General features: G+C 40.6%; 1 long non-coding RNA gene across 1 annotated transcript in view, besides 2 other annotated features; it reads right to left on the bottom strand.

Annotated features, from left to right (window-relative positions):
* Window positions 1–19,427, bottom strand: part of LOC107986623 (uncharacterized) — a 324,476-nt gene that overhangs the window by 283,801 nt on the left and 21,248 nt on the right. Inside the window, exon 2 of the long non-coding RNA XR_001744259.1 lies at window positions 10,569–11,630. This is a non-coding gene — a long non-coding RNA (uncharacterized LOC107986623). The remainder of the gene's footprint in view (window positions 1–10,568; window positions 11,631–19,427) is intronic.
* Window positions 586–1,540: an enhancer, noted in NCBI's record as "OCT4-NANOG-H3K27ac hESC enhancer chr6:91380250-91381204 (GRCh37/hg19 assembly coordinates)". NCBI's record gives its function as "activates a minimal SCP1, AML or CMV promoter by ChIP-STARR-seq in naive H9 embryonic stem cells {active_cell/tissue: H9 hESC(naive)}" and the evidence as "EXISTENCE:reporter gene assay evidence [ECO:0000049][PMID:30033119]".
* Window positions 1,541–2,496: an enhancer, noted in NCBI's record as "OCT4-NANOG-H3K27ac hESC enhancer chr6:91379294-91380249 (GRCh37/hg19 assembly coordinates)". NCBI's record gives its function as "activates a minimal SCP1, AML or CMV promoter by ChIP-STARR-seq in naive and primed H9 embryonic stem cells {active_cell/tissue: H9 hESC(naive and primed)}" and the evidence as "EXISTENCE:reporter gene assay evidence [ECO:0000049][PMID:30033119]".

Below are 19,427 nucleotides of genomic sequence, written 5' to 3'. Positions count from 1 at the left end.
ACACCTGACCCCCATGACTGTATCTCTCTGATCCAGCTAATATTCACCCCATTTCCCCATATTTCCTTCTTTCCTGTTTCTCACCCTGATCACGCTTGATTTATTGATGGTAGTTCCACCAGGCCTAATCGCCACACACCAGCAAAGGCAGGCTATGCTATAGTATAAGCCGCTAACCCACCTCTCAGAACCTCTCATTTCCTTTCCATCCTGGAAATCTATCCTCAAGGAAATAACTTCTCAGTGTTCCATCTGCTATTCTACTACTCCTCAGGGATTATTCAGGCCCCCCTCCCTTCCCTACACATCAAGCTCAAGGATTTGCCCCCACCCAGGACTGGCAAATTAGCTTTACTCAACATGCCCAAGTCAGGAAACTAAAATACCTCTTAGTCTAAATAGACACTTTCACTGAATAAGTAAAGGCCTTTCCTACAGGGTCTGAGAAGGCCACCGCAGTCATTTCTTCCCTTCTGTCAGACATAATTCCTCAGTTTAGCCTTCCCACCTCTATACAGTCTGGTAACAGACCAGCCTTTATTAGTCAAATCAGCCAAGCAGTTTTTCAGGCTCTTAGTATTCAGTGAAACCTTTATATCCCTTACGGTCCTCCGTCTTCAAGAAAAGTAGAACGGACTACAGGTCTTTTAAAAACACACCTCACCAAGCTCAGCCACCAACTTAAAAAGGACTGGACAATAAATACTTTTACCACTTTCGCTTCTCAGAATTCAGGCCTGTCCTCAGAATGTTACAAGGTACAGCCCATTTAAGCTCCTGTATAGACGCTCCTTTTTATTGGGCCCCAGTCTCATTCGACACCAGACCAACTTAGACTGTGCCCCAAAAAAACTTGTCATCCCTACTATCTTTTGTCTAGTCATACTCCTATTCACCGTTCTCAACTACTCATACGTGCCCTGCTCTTACTTACAGTGCCGGTTTACACTGTTTCTCCAAGCCATCACAGCTGATATCTCCTGGTGCTATCCCCAAACCGCCACTCTTAACTCTTGAAGTAAATAAATAATCTTTGCTGGCAGGACTATGCTGAATCTCCTTAGGCACTCTCTAATCAGATGTCCTAGGTCCTCCCAATTCTTAGACCTTTTATACCTGTTTTTCTCCTTCTGTTATTCCATTTAGTTTTTCAATTCATACAAAACCGTATCCAGGCCATCACCAATCATTCTATACGACAAATGTTTCTTCTAACATCCCCACAATATCACCCCTTACCACAAGACCTCCCTTCAGCTTAATCTCTCCCACTCTAGGTTCCCACGCCGCCCCTAATCCCGCTTGAAGCAGCCCTGAGAAACATCGCCCATTCTCTCTCCATACCACCCCCCAAAAATTTTCGCCGCCCCAACACTTCAACACTATTTTATTTTTCTTATTAATATAAGAAGGCAGGAATGTCAGGCCTCTGAGCCCAAGCCAAGCCATTGCATCCCCTGTGACTTGCACGTATACGCCCAGATGGCCTGAAGTAACTGAAGAATCACAAAAGAAGTGAATATGCCCTGCCCCACCTTAACTGATGACATTCTACCACAAAAGAAGTGTAAATGGCCGGTCCTTGCCTTAACTGATGACATTACCTTGTGAAAGTCCTTTTCCTGGCTCATCCTGGCTCAGAAAGCACCCCCACTGAGCACCTTGCGACCCCTACTCCTGCCCGCCAGAGAACAAACCCCCTTTGACTGTAATTTTCCTTTACCTACCCAAATCCTATAAAACGGCCCCACCCTTATCTCCCTTCGCTGACTCTCTTTTCGGACTCAGCCCGCCTGCACCCAGAATAAACAGCTTTATTGCTCACACAAAGCCTGTTTGGTGGTCTCTTCACACAGACGTGCATGAAAATGAATACAATGGGCATTTTTTTAACTTCTTCAGGTGGAAAAAATAAAGCCATTCTTAACTAAGTCAAAGTAATAACTTCAGCAATACATTCAAATAGTTGCCAACTGAGGTCAACTTACATACACATGGAAGAACAACCTGCCCATCCACAAATATTTATCTAATGTTTATAATGTATACAAGTTAAAGGAAAAAGACATGTCATTCTGACCCACAAGTTAGGGAGGCAAAATAAAAAGCAATGAAAAATTCAGAGAACAATTATATGCTGACTTAAGTGGCTGTGACCATAATTACAATAGAAATTCAAATGAGAGAAATTGGTTTTGAATAAAGTGAAAGAATGCTTTTATAGAGAAAGTAACATTTATATTTGTCCTTGAGAGCTAAATATGATTCAATGAAGGGTAAAAAGCATAACAAAATCTGAGCACAGAGAAGAGAAAGAATGAAGGATTGAGTGAGGAGAGGAAAAGGCCCACCTGCTGACCAAGAGAATATTTAGTAATCCAGACTAACACTAGAACAGTAGTGACAGGAAATAGTCCGCAGGAAATGTCAAAAACAAGCAGACAGACGTAACTTAGTACAGTAGGCAGTGTTGGAAGCAATGAGAGCCAGGCCCCTCCCACCCTCACACCCACCCACTGGGTTCATTACATTAAATCCAACTATAACCTCAACTAGAATTAAATTTTAGCCAAACTCCTCATTAAAGCATTTTATTAAATTGCAAATGTTTGATAAAATTTAGTTTTCTGGGCTAAATATTTTTATTTATAAGGTTACCAAAAATGACTCCAATACTAGCAAAGCATTTCTGCTTACTATGCTTTTATGAAGAGAATTGATGATATTTGTAGGAAGCTAGTAGCTGGATTGATTGGAAGAAGGAGGCCCTGGATTCAAAGAAGTAAGACATAGAGCTGACAAGATTAGGACTTCAGCAGGGATAGTGGCACCAGGCTTTTATACAAGCAAAGTAGGTAATCATACAAGCTGCTTATTTTCAGAGGCTCTTATTTATAGTGATTGAAACTCAGATTTAGAGCCTCATTGTTTCATTCAAAGCTTTGATTCCACTTCAATTTAAAGAACCTTGAGTTAAGCTAATAGGATTGGGCAATGTGACAAACTGTTAACAGATAATCCTACCTCAGGGATGATGAATTTTAAGAGTTTTTGTGTTTTTGTTTTTTGAGAAAGAGAATTTTGACTAGAGGAAGGAAGATAGACTGCCAGAACTGTAAACTTGAGGGAATCGTAATCAGATATCATTGAGGGTGCTCAGAGTCCACAGCTATTTGAAGGAGGCTACCCAAAGCAAATTTTGCAGGCTTCAGTTTTAACCAGGATGGTGCTGGGGGGTGGAGGGAAAGGCATACAGAAGATGAGAAAATATGAAAAGCATTTTGAAATAAAAGGACAAAGCTAATGCAGATTGTATGAAAGAGATGGATAATGTAAAACATAACTTCAAAGTTATTTGAAAACTCTAATATGGCTGGGATGACTAACAAAAATAAAGGGGCTATAAAAAGGAACCCATTTTAGAAGTAAGAGCCTTTAATTTTCCTTCCAATTAGGGTTCAGCTGTAACCAATTGGAGATGCACAATTGGTTCAAGGGTAAAAGTAGGATTATAAATGCAGATTTGAAAGTCATTCATCATAAGTGATTGCTGACATCAAGAGCTGTGTGGGAAATGGAGAGCAAAGAATACAGCTTTGGCTCTGGGAAACAGGAATAAGAATGAGAGTAAGAGTAGAATAGGAGGTAGCAACAGACAGAAAAAAGAGCAGGGAAAAAAAAACAGCACATTGCTATGAAAGCAATGAGAGATTTTTTTTTAATGAGTAGTCAGCATTATCAAGTGTCTGAAGGAGTCAAAGTTGATAGGAACTGAAGAAAGTCATTAGATCCAGAAAGAAAGAATTTATTAGTAATCTTTGAGAAACCCAATGCACTGGGGTAATACAAATATAAAACATAACAACAGAACCCAAATGACTAATTGTTAAGATGTCAGAGAAGAGAAAGATTTGGCAGAAAAGAGACAAAAATGGTAAGAAGTGATGTCCCAGAGTCCAAAGGAGGCTATAACCAGAGCTAAGATCCTGCTGCCTTTGAGTCTGAAAGGCGGAATGACAGGGAAAGAGGGGTGAACAATTCATTAAAATAAAGACAGAGGTAATAAAAATCTTGGAGTTGATCTCCACATTGAATACTTTGCCTTTCCTTCACTGTATTATTCTCTTTCCTCCTCAGTCTTCTGTATGAAATATATGTGATGGCAATGGAAGATTTTGGAGCTTAAGGAAAGAGAAGGGTGACTCTCATGAAGTATGCTTTAGGTCAATAAGAGATGAAAGTGGCTGACAAGCATAGTAGGGTCAGAGTAAAGCTGGGGAGCAGATGCTATGAACTGAATGTTTGTGTCCCCCAAGATTCATGTGTTAACATCCTAACCCCCAGTGTTATAGTATTAGGAGGTGGGGCCTTTGGGAAATAGTTAAGACATGAGGTATAGTGCCCAAATGAATGAATGAAATTAGTGACCTTATAAGAAGAGACCTGAGTGCGTGAGCTCTCTGTCTCTCTCTCTCTTTCTCTGTCTCTCTCTGTTCTCTGCCATGTAAGGATACACAAAAAAGATGAAAAGACAGTCATTTGCAAACCAGGAAGCAGACCTTCACCAGACACTAGATTTGCTGGCTCTTGGATCATGGACTTTCCAGCATCCAGAACTGTGAGAAGTAAAATTTTCTTGTTTAAGATACCCAGTCTATGATCATTTGTTATAATAGCCTGAACTAAGCTTATATCTGCCATCATCTAGATCTGTGTGACTCAGTTTCTCCTCTAGCAGTGCCTAGAGATTAGCTGCAGTAGAAGAAAAAGCCCTTGAAGGGATCATCAGGGCAGAATTAGCTCAATGCAGCATTAAGTAAAGGAAGTGAGGAAATAAAAATTGCTGGAGGGTATAGGATTGCTGTAGCTCACAGGCTGTCTGAAATGGAGGTCCCCAGTGTATCCTCAAGAAGCAATAGAGACCCACTGATATAGGATGGGCTTTGGGGAAGAATATATCTGGTTTCAAAGTCCAGCTTTACTTTTAACTAGCTATATGCCCTCTCAAAAATAATTTAACTTCTCTGAAATGTTCCTGGATCACACTGATGTAAGGATTAAATGCGTTGATTCATGTGAAGTACTCAGGAAGCAATAGCTGTGATCGTCATGATTGAATTTATGTGAGTGTATTGAGAGCAATAAACTAGTAGCAGATAAGGCAGCTGTTGTCAGAAAATGAGAACCCAAAGTTCAAGGGATCAGTAGTATCATTAATGGTAAAGTTGATCAGGGGTTACAGAAGAGTTTTGAGGAGTAGACAATAGTGGAAAATATGAAGACTGCAAAAAAAGTGAGTTTGCCTCAACCTCACATTTCCTTGAGCTGATTGCTGTTATTCCACATATTATGTTTATGCCATGTACTGTGTCTATGTCTGTAAAGAAGCATAGAACACAGTAGTGGCTAGGAAGAGGTCCTCCAGTGTCCTCCTTGTGTCCTTTCCTCAATTTCCTTAGAACCTGTTCTCAATGACACAGACAAAAGTCACACAGCTCCCAATAGCTATTTGCTGTCACACCACCTAAAGGATGACCTCAAGGTTTGGGAATATACACAGGAACATCCTGGAGAGCTGGCCGGGCACAGGGGACTACTTCTCTCAGTGCATCTGAGGGTATCTAGCAATCCAATACACATACTAGTGGCTTGTTATTTCTCTCCAAAACCTTGCTGGGACAGGGCCAGGTGATGAAAAGATCAGAATAAAAATAATCTGCCATATTATTATCCACTGAAGGACATTTCACTGTTGATTATCCTGGGCCAACATTTCTAGAAGAGCCTTCCATTGGAAACTAGTTCACTGTGACACTAATATTACTCCCATGGAAGAAAGGGTTCCAAGGTCAAATAATTTTAAGAACTTCTAAATTAAATGAAATCAAATGAGTGTTTTTCAGTGCAGGATTTCTCAGAGCCTTTAATATGTTAATGTTGTATTGTGAATCTTCAAGACTGATTTTTCACTTCCCAGACCTCTGTGACCCTAAAACACTTTGCTTATGGAGCATCTAGAGTGGACAGTGGAGAACTCCGTTGCTGAACCCATCGAGAATAACTCCGGTACCTGCAGCTCCAGAGCTAGTGCCCTTACCTACCCTTGAGGAATGAAAATCACTGTGCAGACAGCACTTTGGGAGGCCGAGGCAGGCAGATCACCTGAGGTCAGGAGTTCAAGACCAGCCTGGCGATCAATGGTGAAGCCCTGTCTCTGCTAAAAATACAAAAATTAGCCAGTCACAGTGGCTCATGCCTGTAATCCCAGCTACTTGGGAGGCTGAGGCAGGAGAATTGGCTGAACTCAGGAGGTGGAGGTTGTAGTGACCCAAGATTGCACCACTGCTCTCCAGCCTGGGCAACAGAGTAGGACTCTGCTGAAAAAAAAAGGAAAAAGAAAGAAAGAAAGAAAGAAAGAAAGAAAGAAAGAAAGAAAGAAAGAAAGAAAGAAAGAAAGAAAGGAAAAGAAAAGAAAGAAAGAAAGAAAGAAGCAAGGAAGGAAGGAAGGAAAGGAAGGAAGGAAGGAAGAAAAAGAAAAAGAAAGAAAGAAAGAGAAAGAAGGAAAGAAAGAAAGAAAGAAAGATAGAAAGAAAGAGAGAGAGAGAAAGGGAGAAAGAGAGAAAGGAAGGGAAGGAAGGGAAGGAAGAAAGGAAGGAAGTCATTGTGCATAGATTTAATATAGTCAGTAAGGGGTTCTCCTCCCTTCCCGAGACAGATATAAAAAGTAATACCTGAGTACCTGCCAAGATCCATCAAACCTGCTGACCACCGTACACTCCATGATGATATGAAGGACCCAACAGAAAGATACAGGAAGTATCCTTGGTGCAGAAATCAACAAAGGAACACTTATCCAGTCCTAAACATTTGGGCACCATTCACTCATTCAATCCTCACACAATCTTGGGAGTATCCAAGATGAAAATAATTATCTCTATTCACAGATTTTAAAAAGCAACCAACAAACAAACCTGAGTTTCACAGAAGTTAAGGCACTTTTCCAAGATCATTAAGCTTATAATTGGAAAAACCAGGACTCAAACCAAAGTGTTCTAATTTTGAGGGCAGTGTTTTTCCACTGCACCAGGAAAACAAATAGCTTGAAGACAAAACAACATATTTAAACTTTTTTAGAAGTGACAGGATTTTAGAGGAATACTTTGCTTTGTAGACATTGTCAAAGGGTGGGGTTTGTATCCCTGGACTCCAGCATCAGATTCCAGAATTGCATACCTTTAGCTATTGACAGGTACTTTTCAAGGACAGAGAAGAATATGTGTCCAGAGACTGAAAATGTAAGACTAAAAATAAAGCAGAGAAAAAGAGATACCAATAAAATAAGCAGTTACATTGAACACAAAATATTAAAAAAAGAAGAAGAAGAAGAAGAAGGAACAGTGCTAGAATTGACCAATAATTCACATGGGAAAATAGTGTGTAATTGGCCTAGACACAGTATTTGTATCTTCTTTGCCTGAATACCAAGGTCCAGGATATTGGATAATCAAATGTTTATCAGTGAGGAGTTTAAAAAGCTCACGCATTTGTGGAAGACACAAAATTTGACAGGATGGCTGCTTGAGAAATTCACAATCTAAGAAGCTATTGAGAAGCTAGAAAGGGATTTGCTAGATCTAAAAATTAAAACCTAATAAGGATAATGTATTATATTGGGCTTATATCTAAAAATATCAGCAAGTTCATGAAAGGAGTACCTATTTGAGTAGCTGCCTATGTTAAAAAGAACAGTGGATTTTTTGTTTATAGCAAACTCAGTGTGAGTCACAACAGCATAATATGGCCACTAAAAAAGCTATTACATATTATATTCATTATCATAATTAACACTGTATGCTGCCAAAAATCAGTTTTTAAAATAAATTTTATTTTACAGTCAATGCAAAGTCTTGTGGCAGCTTGGACAGCTCTTCCACACAGCTCTCCACCATGTGGTGACTCAGGACCCAGGCATTCTTCTACCTTGTTGCTATGTCATCTGGAGCCCATGACTCCCTAGGTGGCCATGGAGAATTCCTTGGGATGTTCTTACGCATCAGACCTGCAGGAGGCTTGTATTATTTCCACCTGTCACCCATCGGCAAGAATTAGTCATATGACTCCATCTGGATGCTTAAGACAAGGAAACGTTAAAAAATGTGCATTTACTGTGTGAGCACCAATTGTCCCTGCCACATAAACTCTAAAAATATTTAGCAAAATATAGCATTTAGGATGAAAAGGATAATCATCACTTTTTTCTGAAACCCTGATCAGACCTCACCTGGCACTCACATACTCAGCTTTAGTCCTGGGCTTCACTCTCTAAAAAAGATATTGAAACACTGAAATACCTTCCAAGGAGGGCAATAAGGACAATGAGGGCAATCAAACTATTATCATATGGCAAATTGTTACAGGAAATGAGAATGCTTAACCTACACTTCAGTCTAAGGAGACACAATAGCTGTGTTCCAGTACAGGAATGTCATTTGAAAGAAATTGTTAAAGTGCTTCTGCGAGGTCCTATGGGGTGGAATTTAGCAAGCTTTGTAAAAGTTAGAGCTGGTCAAGGACAGAATGAGCTGCCTCGACATGTCATTTTCCCTTTGCTGGAAAGAGTTAACCAGAGCTTGGAGTACCAATTGCTGATAACCCAGTGTCTCAGTCCATTTTATGATGCTATAGCTGAATACCACAGACTGGGCAATTTTTCATAAACAGAAATTTATTTGTCTCATGGTTCTGGAGGCTGGGAAGTCCAAGAGCATGCACCAGCACCTGGTGAGGGCCTTCATGCTGTATCATCCCATAGTGAAAGCCAGAAGTAATCACACGGGCAGGAGAGCATGTCAGAGACAGCAAGAGGGGGCCAAACTCACTCTTATAACAAGCCCACTCTCACAGTAACAAATCTACTCCCAGGATAATGACATTAATCCATTCATGAGGGCAGAGCCCTCATGACCTAAATGCCTCTTAAAGGTCCCACTTCTCTATTTTTAGTAGAGATGGGGTTTTTAGCCAGGCATGGTGGTGTGCACCTGTAGTCCCAGCTACTTGGGAGGCTGAGGCAGGAGAATCACTTGAACCAGGGAGGAAGAGGCTGCAGTGAGCCAAGATCAGGCCACTGCACACTGCACTCCGGCCTGGGTGACGGAGTGAGACTCCATCTCAAAAAAAAACAAAAACAACACAAAACAAAAAGTCCCTCTTATCAGTTGGGAATTAAGTTTCTAACACATGAACTTCAGGGGACACATTCAAACCACAGCCCCCAGATATAGTCAATCATCATTATTCACGGATTCTATAGTTGCAAATTTGCCTATTCACTAAAATTTTTTTGTACCACAAATCAATACTCTGGGGCTTTCACAGTTATTTACAGGCAGGTGCAGAGCTGCCTGTAATTTTCAAATCAGCCAACATGCACCTTCCTAGCTGAGGTCAAACAAATGATATTCTGCCCTTTGGTTTCAGCTCGCATACTGTAAACAAGTATCCTTTATGCAGTTTATTGAATACCATGATTTTTGCACTTTTGTGCTTTTTCTTAGAGATTTTTCTGTTTAAAATGGCCTCCAAGTGTAGTGCCAAAGCACTATCTGGCATTCCTAATCACAAGAATGTGCCTTAAAAAGAAAATGTGTGTCTTAGATAATCTTCATGAAGTCATCCGCTCTAGTGCTCTTAGCTGAGAGTTCAATGTTAATGAATCAACACTACATATTAAATAAGGTGTCTTTAAATAGAAACACACATAAAACAACGTTATGTATTCATTTGTTGACAAAAATGTGACCATAGGCTTGCAAGAGACTAACCCTGTATTTCCCCTAGGATCAATGGTTCAGTATTTGCTAACTCAGTGTTTGTGGCAACTTTGTGGAATATAAATACCAGGAATAATGGGAATTCACTCTACGTATTAGGAAACAATAGCAATCTTAGCTGACAATTACAGCACATTTATCAAGTACCAACAACTACAGCAGGCACTCTACAGAGATTATCTTCTTTAATTTCTATAATAATCCCATGAGATAACCAGTTTACCTGTTTTATAGGTGAGGAAACAGAAGGGCATACTTATCCAAAGTCCCAGGATTCAAACTCAGACAGCCTGACTCCAAAATCTGTAATCTGAATCCCTGCATGGTACTGAGTGTCACTAGTTTTGTCACCCTGAACTGGTAAGATTCTGTGATTTTTCCCTGAGTTATAAACTCATGCCTTTATCCTTTGGTACTTGTTACTTTGTTTCCTCACTTCCTTGTGCAAACACACACACACACACACACACACGCAGAAATACTGAGAGAGGTTACCTTTGCATTATACATACATATATATATATATATATATATATATATATATATGGTGGGAAGACATACACCTTGCATTGCATTCCAGTCCTCAGATGCACAACACCTACCAGTCCTTTAATAATTCATTGAAGAAGAGACCAACAGATCCTGCTGAACATCCGTTGTCTTAGTCCATTTGGGCTGCTATAACAAAATACCATAAGCCAGATAGTTTACAAACAACAGAAGTGTATTTCTTACAGTTCTCGAGGTTGGGAGGTCCGTAATCAAGGCACTGGCAGATTCAGGGTCTGATGAAGGCCCACTTTCTGGTTCACAGATGGTGCTTTCTCGCTGGTCCTAACATGGCGGAATGGGCAAAACAGCTCTCTGGAGCCTCTTTTATGAAATCACTAATCCCGTTCATGAGGCCTTTACCCTCAGAACCTAATCACCTCTCAGAGGCCCCACCTCCCTAATACAACCACCTTGGTATTAGGATTTCAACATATGAACTTGGGAGGACACACATTCAGCCCATAGTACCCCTCCTTGCACATCAAAAGAAACAGCACTCTCCACAATAACATCCTCCCTCTGACCCCAGCCCTGCCACTGCAGCCAGAGGAGGGGCTAAAACATCACACATTGGCCTGTCTTTGAGTCCCTGGATCACTGAGGACACTGTTCTTCCTGTGTCCTACTGCCTCTTTGTTCTGGGGGCCCAGAGCAAAGGGGTGGCTCTGTGACCAGGGTGCTGAATAAGCAGAACTCCTGAGATATAATTCACAAGTATCTTTACTTCTGCCTCCCACTGTATTTATAAAATTCATTCAGTAGAGAAAAGTTCTTCCACTCCCCAGATGTAACCTTGGGAAGTCTCGTAAGTTTTTGGTTCATGGTTAGATTACAAAATGCCCTGGTCACTTTAGGCCACAAACACAGGTTTAAATCACCTTGCCCCATGTTCTCTACTCCTATCCCTGTCTTATACTTCCAAAACCTTGTCCCCCATCTTATTGTCCTGTCATGGTTATACTGGGGAAGGCAGGAGAGGAAAGGGACGAAGGAACATTCTCATTTGATCAGTAGCATTGCAAGTTGACTTCATGCTCTCTAGGCCTGTCAGGTATTTAAACATCTTATTTTGGGGGCACATTTGAAAGCTCTTTGGGGATTCGCAAGTATTGCAATCCTCTGCAGCCACTTCATAGACTCGGGCAATGCAGCTCCAATCTGGCTGGTCGCCTGGCATTTTCTGCAGCTGCTGGGATGCTGTCGGTGACCTCCAGCTCGCTTTGTCTGCTGAGGTGCCATTGCCCTCTGCAATTAGAGAATCAACATTATTGAACAGGACCTAAGATGGCCACATCAACTCTTTCATTCATTGTTCACATCAATCATAGGAAATCCCCACAAATCCTTTATCTAAATAAATTCAGGGATATAAGCTATCCCAGCGCATTATATGCTGACCAGATGGGGCACATTCAGAGTGGTATGGCCGTAGACACACCCCTCATATTCTGGATTCCCCGGAGAAAAAGGCAGACACTGTCCATGATGCCTGGCTAATTGCCGAGGGCACATTTCAAGACTCCAGAGGGTCTTTTTGAAGACCAATGCAAGAGGTAGACACCATCTACCCATCTTCCTTGATAACGGAGGAGGCCCAACTCACAATTCACCCAGCACCTTTCTTCAAAGAAATCCTTTGCCAACAAATTCCTTGTCCACAGATATCTAGACTTTTAACTATTTTCTATACTCAAAGTGACTACAGAATTGAAGAGTCATAAAACCAAGTGTTTTTAAAAATTATTTTAGATTTAGGGGATACATGTGCAGGTTTGTTACATGGGCTTATTGTGTAACGCTGGGGTTTAGGCTTCTGTTGGACCCATCACCCAAATTGTGAACCTAATACCCAATAGGTAGTTTTTCAACATGTTCCCCCTTTCTCTTCCTCCCCTGTTTTGGAGTTCCCAGTGTCTACTGTTGCAATTTTTATGTCCATATGTACCCATTGTTTAGCTCCCACTTAAAAGTGAAAACATGCAGTATTTGATTTTCTGTTTCTGCATTAATTCACTTAGGATAATGGCCTGCATTACCATAATGGCTGCATCCATGTTGCTGCAAAGGACATAATTATTTCTTTTTTATGGCTGTGTAGTATTCCATGGGGTATATGTACCACATTTTCTTTACCCAGTCTACCATTGATGGGCACTTAGGTTGATTCCATGACTTTGCTATTGTGAGCAGTGCTGTGATAAACATATGAGGGCAGGTGTCTTTTTGGTAGAATGATTTATTAATATTTTCCTTTGGGCAGATTCCTGGGTAGAACAGTAGTTCTATTTGTAGTTCTTTGGGAAACCTCCATACTGTTTTCCATAGGGGTTTAACTGATTTACATTTCCACCAACGGTGTATAATTGTTCCCTTTTCTCCACATCCCTGACAACATCTGTTATTTTTTGACTTTTTAACAATAGCCATTCTGACTAGTGTGAGGCAGTATCTAATTGTGGTTCTAATTTTCATTTCTCTGATGATTAGTGATGTTGAACATCTTTTTCATGTTTGTTGGCTGCTCGTATGTCTTCTTTTGAGAAGTGTCTATGTCCTTTGACCACTTTTTAATTTTTTTTTTCTTGTTGATTTGGTGAAACTGGGTTTTAATCACCTACTTTGAAACTGCAAACAGATGCCCTGTCTCACAACTCCTTCCAGTGTCTGATATCCATCATACCTTGATAATATGGTGTACCTTAGCTAGCATTCCAATTTAACATTCCATATAATATACACTGCTCTTCCCAAGTCAAAAAATGTATTTTCCAACCACTCAATAATTTGGAAGGTGTGGTTCTAGTTGTGGATGCCATCCTGTAAGCCACCTGCAGCTACACAGAGTAGTCTTTATAATTTCTAATTGGCTTGTGTCTTCAAAACTCATGCAATTATAGTAATGGGAAAAATTACAAAATGCAGCAACAAACCTTTTACATAATTGTTTCCCAAACAGATAGTGAAAATTCTCCTCTCAAAAGTAATTCTGCAGGCTTAACGAGGGATGAAGTCCCTCGTGTACTGGGTTACATGCTCTGAAAAATAAACTAGCACAGCGTTTTTATCCAAATGACTATTAAATTTCGCCTAGGCAGGTTTTGTTTTGACAACTTCTATTTCTCAGGGACCAACTCCGTTTTTTTCTCTCCTTGTTTCAAGGTCAGTGGCTAGTCCTTTATCTTTGTCTTCTTATATTAAGAAAAAAAACAAGAATTTTTCATTAAGGCTTAAAAGGGGCATAACTTCTCGAGCAACTCTTAACCTAGAGTTATTTCTCATTTTTTGTATTCTTCTTCCTCTTTTTTTTAAATATGCAGTCAGAGCTAATAATTTTTTCTCTTAAATCTTCAGTTTTAATAGGGTCACAAAAAACGTTTGCTCAGTCTGTTACAGAACACAACTATTTGTCTTTCTACACTGAGGTAAGTCACCTCAGTCCTCTCCTTGTACCCAAAGCACCTTATTGTCCAACCTAAAGGGCAGAGGCTGTGGAGCTATCAAAGAATTTCAGAGGGCATGGAGATACTAACAAGGCTAGCCAGGTCTCCATGAGGCTCAGAGTGGCTGCCTATTCTGAAGAGGTTGGGATAATATGGTGTAAAACCAACTAATTTATTTGAATATACACACAAGAAAAACTTTAGAGGAATACTTAAAGCGTATTAAAGGAAATACTCAAAGGAATACTCAAAGCCACAAATACAATCCCAAAGACAAATTAAACTTCATAATTTCACCTGTCCTCCCATTAAATCACTTGTGTTTGTTTTCTAGTACTCAAAGCCGTGGTCTCTGAAATAAAATGTGGGTGCCCAGGGGATTAGCAAGATGAGTCATTGAGGGGTAGGAATAAAATGTTACAACTTCTATTTGTATTTACCTAAAAAATAAGAAAGTAGGTAAAGATTTTTAATGTTTAATATACACATTAATTTAGATCTCTTAGTCATTCATTTGCTTGAGCACGTTAGAACAGTTTACATATGTCAGTACTCTGGATTTAGAGATAATAGTTTTAACTAAACCAACCACCACAAAATGGGCAAATGACTTAAAAAGACTTTTCGAACAAGCTATGGATTAAAGAAAATGGTAATGATACCGACAAATAGCAAGAAAATGGTAAGACAAACATATCTCTTGTTTCCAGTTTGTGCTCTCAGTCAGCATCAAGAGGAGGTAAAATCATCAATGTGATAATCATACATATCACTGGGATACATTTATTTTCACACGCACAAAAAAAATCACAAAATTTGTTCCTTCTTGCTACAGGTGACAGTAAGGGGGCTAGAGTAACCTCTTTAAGGGAGAAACCTGTGCTTCAAAGAGAGCATTTCAAAAACAATGTTTTTGTTGTTATATGATGTTTGTTGCTGGAAATGGTATGCACCAGCTTCAAGAACTGCCTAATATAGGTACTTAAACTTACAGTTTTCCAATCTGCTTAAAAATGTTCAGGTGAACAGTTTGAACAGTTTCAATGGCTTGTGAACATATTGTGTAAAATATGAGAACAAATTTATTTGCATATTGATAAGCAATTGACAGCAGGGAAGATGTAAACATACTGGATGAGTTGAGACAAAAACTTTTGCTTAATTGGTGGATGGATTTGAAAAATAATTATCATAATTTGTAAGTGAAACCAACAATGTACTTCTTTCGCTTGAATCCGTGTATCTTTGAGCTATTTTCCAGCAGTGATCCCATTTGAGACCACGTATTTTAAAAAATTAATCTTGAAATGATATGTTCAAACAGCTGCATCACTAAGTGTTAAGCCAAAATTTTCAAATATAATTAAGCACATGCATTAACATTCTTCCCATGAAACATTATTGTTATTAAAATGCAGCCAAAATATATTTTGAAGCATTAATAACTAAAATAAAAATTATTTTGAATATTCATTTTACCTTGAGCTTGTCTTTTTAAAATATCTGTTTTTATGTTTTACACTGTATGCAATATAGTATTAATATAGTGATACATATAGATAATTTATGGAAAATAAAGATATTGGAACAAAAGCTCAAACTTTGACAAACAGAGAAAATGTATAAGCAAAGCAGAGGCCACAGGCTTGGAAGCTCAAGTTCAGGCTTCCTGGTCTGGCAGGTTCCTCCTACTCTAACTGCCTCCTTTTCTGTCAATTTTCCCACACTTCCCCCACGACCACAAAACACTGCCATGTTTTGATCAGTCTGACAAGCTATCTCATAAACACACCAAGCTCTCTTATACCTCTGCATCTCAGCCTAGAATATTTTGTACTCTCTTGTCCATTGCTGAATTCCCACTTTTCCTTTAAGACCTAGACCAAATGTCATCTCCCCTGTGGAAATTTAGTCTCCTAAAAATACATATCAGCAAAAAGGTCTGGTTTGTGGAGAAAAATGATAAAAGAAGATGTGGTGATTCTGAATCTGAGTTATGCCACTTGAAATCTAGGTATGAGGAAGTTACTGAAACTTTTGATCCTCAGTTTTCTCATCCAGAAAATGGAGATTCCACATTACCTTGTAACAGGAGCAAATATTTTCAGATTTGCAGACAAAATGGTCCCTATTGTAACTACTCAACTCTGCCTTTGGAGCACAAAAGCTGGCATAGACAATGCATAAACAAATTGACACGGCCATGTTCTAATAAAACTTTGCTGACAAAAACAGTTGATGGGTCACATTTGGCCTGTGGACAGCAGTTTGCCAACCCCTGCCTGATGGAATTATGGTAAAAACTGAAGTGACCCACACAAACATAAGTAAAGCAACCGGTGTATAGTGAGTACTTAGTTCATTATGTGTTAGGCCTGGGAAAACACCACTATACAAAAACAAGCATGATCCCCACAGTCATGTTGTTGGGGGGATGGATAGTAAACAATAACACAAATTATATCAATAAACCCACCCACCCCCACCTCCCACCAAAGCTTACAAAGTCAGAGTTAGATGGATCACAATCATCATTGATTCATGCGAGGATTGTCTGTTACCTTGTTTTATTTGTCATTTGTCAAGGGTTCTGTGAAGAAAATGTAGGTGGTGTTATGAAAGTGTGTCGAAATATTCTATGAAAATGACACTGCAACGTGAGAAGTGAGTCCGCCAGGTGAAGGCAAGCAGGGCCCGGGGGGAAGCTTGCTCCAGGCAGAGGCCAACATGTACAAAGGTCCTGAAGAGGAAAACAGTTGGTCCAGCTTTGCAAAACACAAGGAAGGCAAAGTTTAGAGGTGGAGGGAAAGAATGAAGATCAGCCTGGATAGGGAGGGAGGGGCCGGGGACCTTGTACAACATATAAAGGATTTGAGATTTGATTTTAAGTCACAAAGAAAGCCTCAAATATTTTTCAGTGATCTCATTGGTATATACAACATATGTTGGATATATATGTGTGATTATAGTTATTATGTAATCATTACTTATAAGGCAACAAAAATGTTTTGTGAACCACTAATTAATAACACCACTGAAAATAGTGCCTCCTTCAAATTCTCCCCAGCAACCCCTTCCGCTTGCGCCATCTCTTTCCTTGTGGGACCCTATTAGATGCACTCAGAAAATTGCTCCAGTCCTTGAATAAAACGTGTGGCCCAAGGCGGGGCATAGGACATCCTCCCCACTTCTGAGGAGGACCCAACACAGCGGCAGCCACAGGGACAGTGCACCACCCAGGCACAGCAGCCACTCACAGTCTCCAGAGCTGGCACCTGGTGCAGGGTGGCCACTGATGGCATGGGCAGCAGAAGTGGAGTTCTATTCTCAGGGAACTCCACAACAAGCTCTAGAGCTCAAGGAGAGCCCAACAGGGGACCACAAGGGTGCCACATGTGAGCTCAGGTGAGGCATTCTTCCTCCCCTTTCAAAATTAGATTTACACAGAAACAATTGCCTTAGTCCTTGTTGGAGGAGCCAGGGGTCTTACGGAAGCAGCTGAAACACAAGCCATGGAATTGTGGTGAATAGCACCCACAGTACTTCAGTTTTAACAGTGGGGAAAGAAAAACAAATGTTGGTGTTAAGGGACGGAAGAAGAAGATGAGGAAGGAAAAGCAAAGAAAATAAGATGAGAGGAGAAAAAAAGGAAAAGGGGACCCAAAGGAAAAGAATCCTCATAGTCCTCTCTGCATGACAGCTACTACAAAGGAAAAGCAACCAGGAGCACCAGACAGCAACACGGGATACCAAGAAACAAAATCAAAGAAGGGACCGACGCAGAAACTGAAAGGGGCAGATGAAGATGAACAGACAGAGCCCAAGGGAGACAAAATAAGCTCAATAGATTTCCGAAGTGCATTTATCAAGATAAATTGCTTTTGTCACATCCTGCTGTTTTCGAACATGAGCATGTTGTTGCCTGTTATCGCTGACCCTACAATTCTGATTAGCTGCTCAGCAATTAACCAGTATTCCTTAGATGATCTTAGCTCTGCGCTAGAGGAGATAGCCACAACAGGCCCCTGGCGTGGAGGAAGAAGAGAAGAGAACCTGCAGAGAAGGAAATTACTGCACCAACTGCAGAACCACGGAGCCTCCTCGTGTTCTTGCCTGTAGTTCTAAAAACTAAGAATCATTACATACATTTTTAAACTTAAAAAAATGCCTTCTATCATTTGCAACACAGCAACTTTTCCCCTCCACTTGGTGTACTGTAAACTTAAGGCAGAGGTGGTTGGTTTAAGTTACAAGCCAAACATCAAACAGACTACAAGACACGGAGGTGGGAAGTGAACGCTTGTCACCTGGCTTGAGCCACGAGCACTTTCTTCTCAGAAACCAGGTGGAAGGCCTGATGCCTTGCCCAGATATCAGTCCAGATGCATTTGTTCTTCTGAACCTTCGTTTAGAAACACCTTTGGTTCTGGTTTCATGTGATGAGATTGGTGGAAGACATCTCCACCACAAAGCTAAGATTTTGGCAACCCTTTCAAGCACCATCTTTAGATTCTCCCCTTTTTAGAGCAAGAGGAATTTGAGGCAGGGTGTGTAGGCTTACACAAAGAGCTTCAGTGCAGGGGCTAACAGAGATCTGAAATCACTCAGCACTCTTCCTCGGTCTCTATCATACTTAAAATATCCTACAATGAGCCCACAGGCTATCCTTGTATCTCATCCCTCCGAGAATTAAACAGGTCCACTATCATGATGAAGATGTAGACCCAGGGTAACAATATAAACATGTCCTAAGGATGGAATCCACATAATTATCCTAATTGTACATCCAGACTAATTATACTTTGTTTTATTAATAACAAGACAAACTTGCATTTTTGTCTTTATACACATAGATGCATTACAGTACCTTCTCATGAGGTTATTTGTTTTGTTTGTTTTGAGACGGAGTTTTGCTCTTTCACCCAGGCTGGAGTGAAGTGGTGTGATCTCGGCTCAATGCAACCTCTGCCCCCCACCCCACCCACTCCCTGGGTTCAAGCAATTCTCCTGCCCCAGCCTCCTGAGTAGCTGAAATTATAGGCACCCACCACCACGCCCAGTTAATGTTTGTATTTTTAGTAGAGACAGGGTTTTGCCATGTTGGCCAGACTGGTCTCAAACTCCTGACCTCAGGTGATCCACCCGCTTCAGCTTCCCGAAGTGCTGGGATTACAGGCATGAGCAACTGCGCCCAGCCTTATAAGGTCTTTATCACAACAAAAAAGTGAGGTAGAACAAGAAGGTAGGCTACAGTCAATATTTTTCCATATCAAGCAATGATGCTAATACAGTAGCTCTAAAACTGAGACAGCTCCAGAACAAATTTCATGGAAGTGCAGTACAAAATGCGAACAGTGGGCCAGGCACGGTGGCTCACGCTTGTAATCCCAGCACTTTGGGAGGCCGAGGCGGGTGGATCACCAGAGGTCGGGAGTTCGAGACCAGCCTGATCAACATGGAGAAACCCCGTCTCTACTAAAAATACAAAATTAGCTGGGCCATGGAGGTACATGCCGGTAGTCCCAGCTACTCGGGAGGCTGAGGCAGGAGAATCGCTTGAACCCAGGAGGCAGAGGTTGCAGCGAGCTGAGATTGTGCCATT

This window comes from Homo sapiens, chromosome 6 (assembly GCF_000001405.40).
Source record: "Homo sapiens chromosome 6, GRCh38.p14 Primary Assembly".
Taxonomy (NCBI): Eukaryota; Metazoa; Chordata; class Mammalia; order Primates; family Hominidae; genus Homo; species Homo sapiens.
Note: the sequence above shows the minus strand (reverse complement) of the source record. Positions and strands in the feature narration are given on the sequence as shown.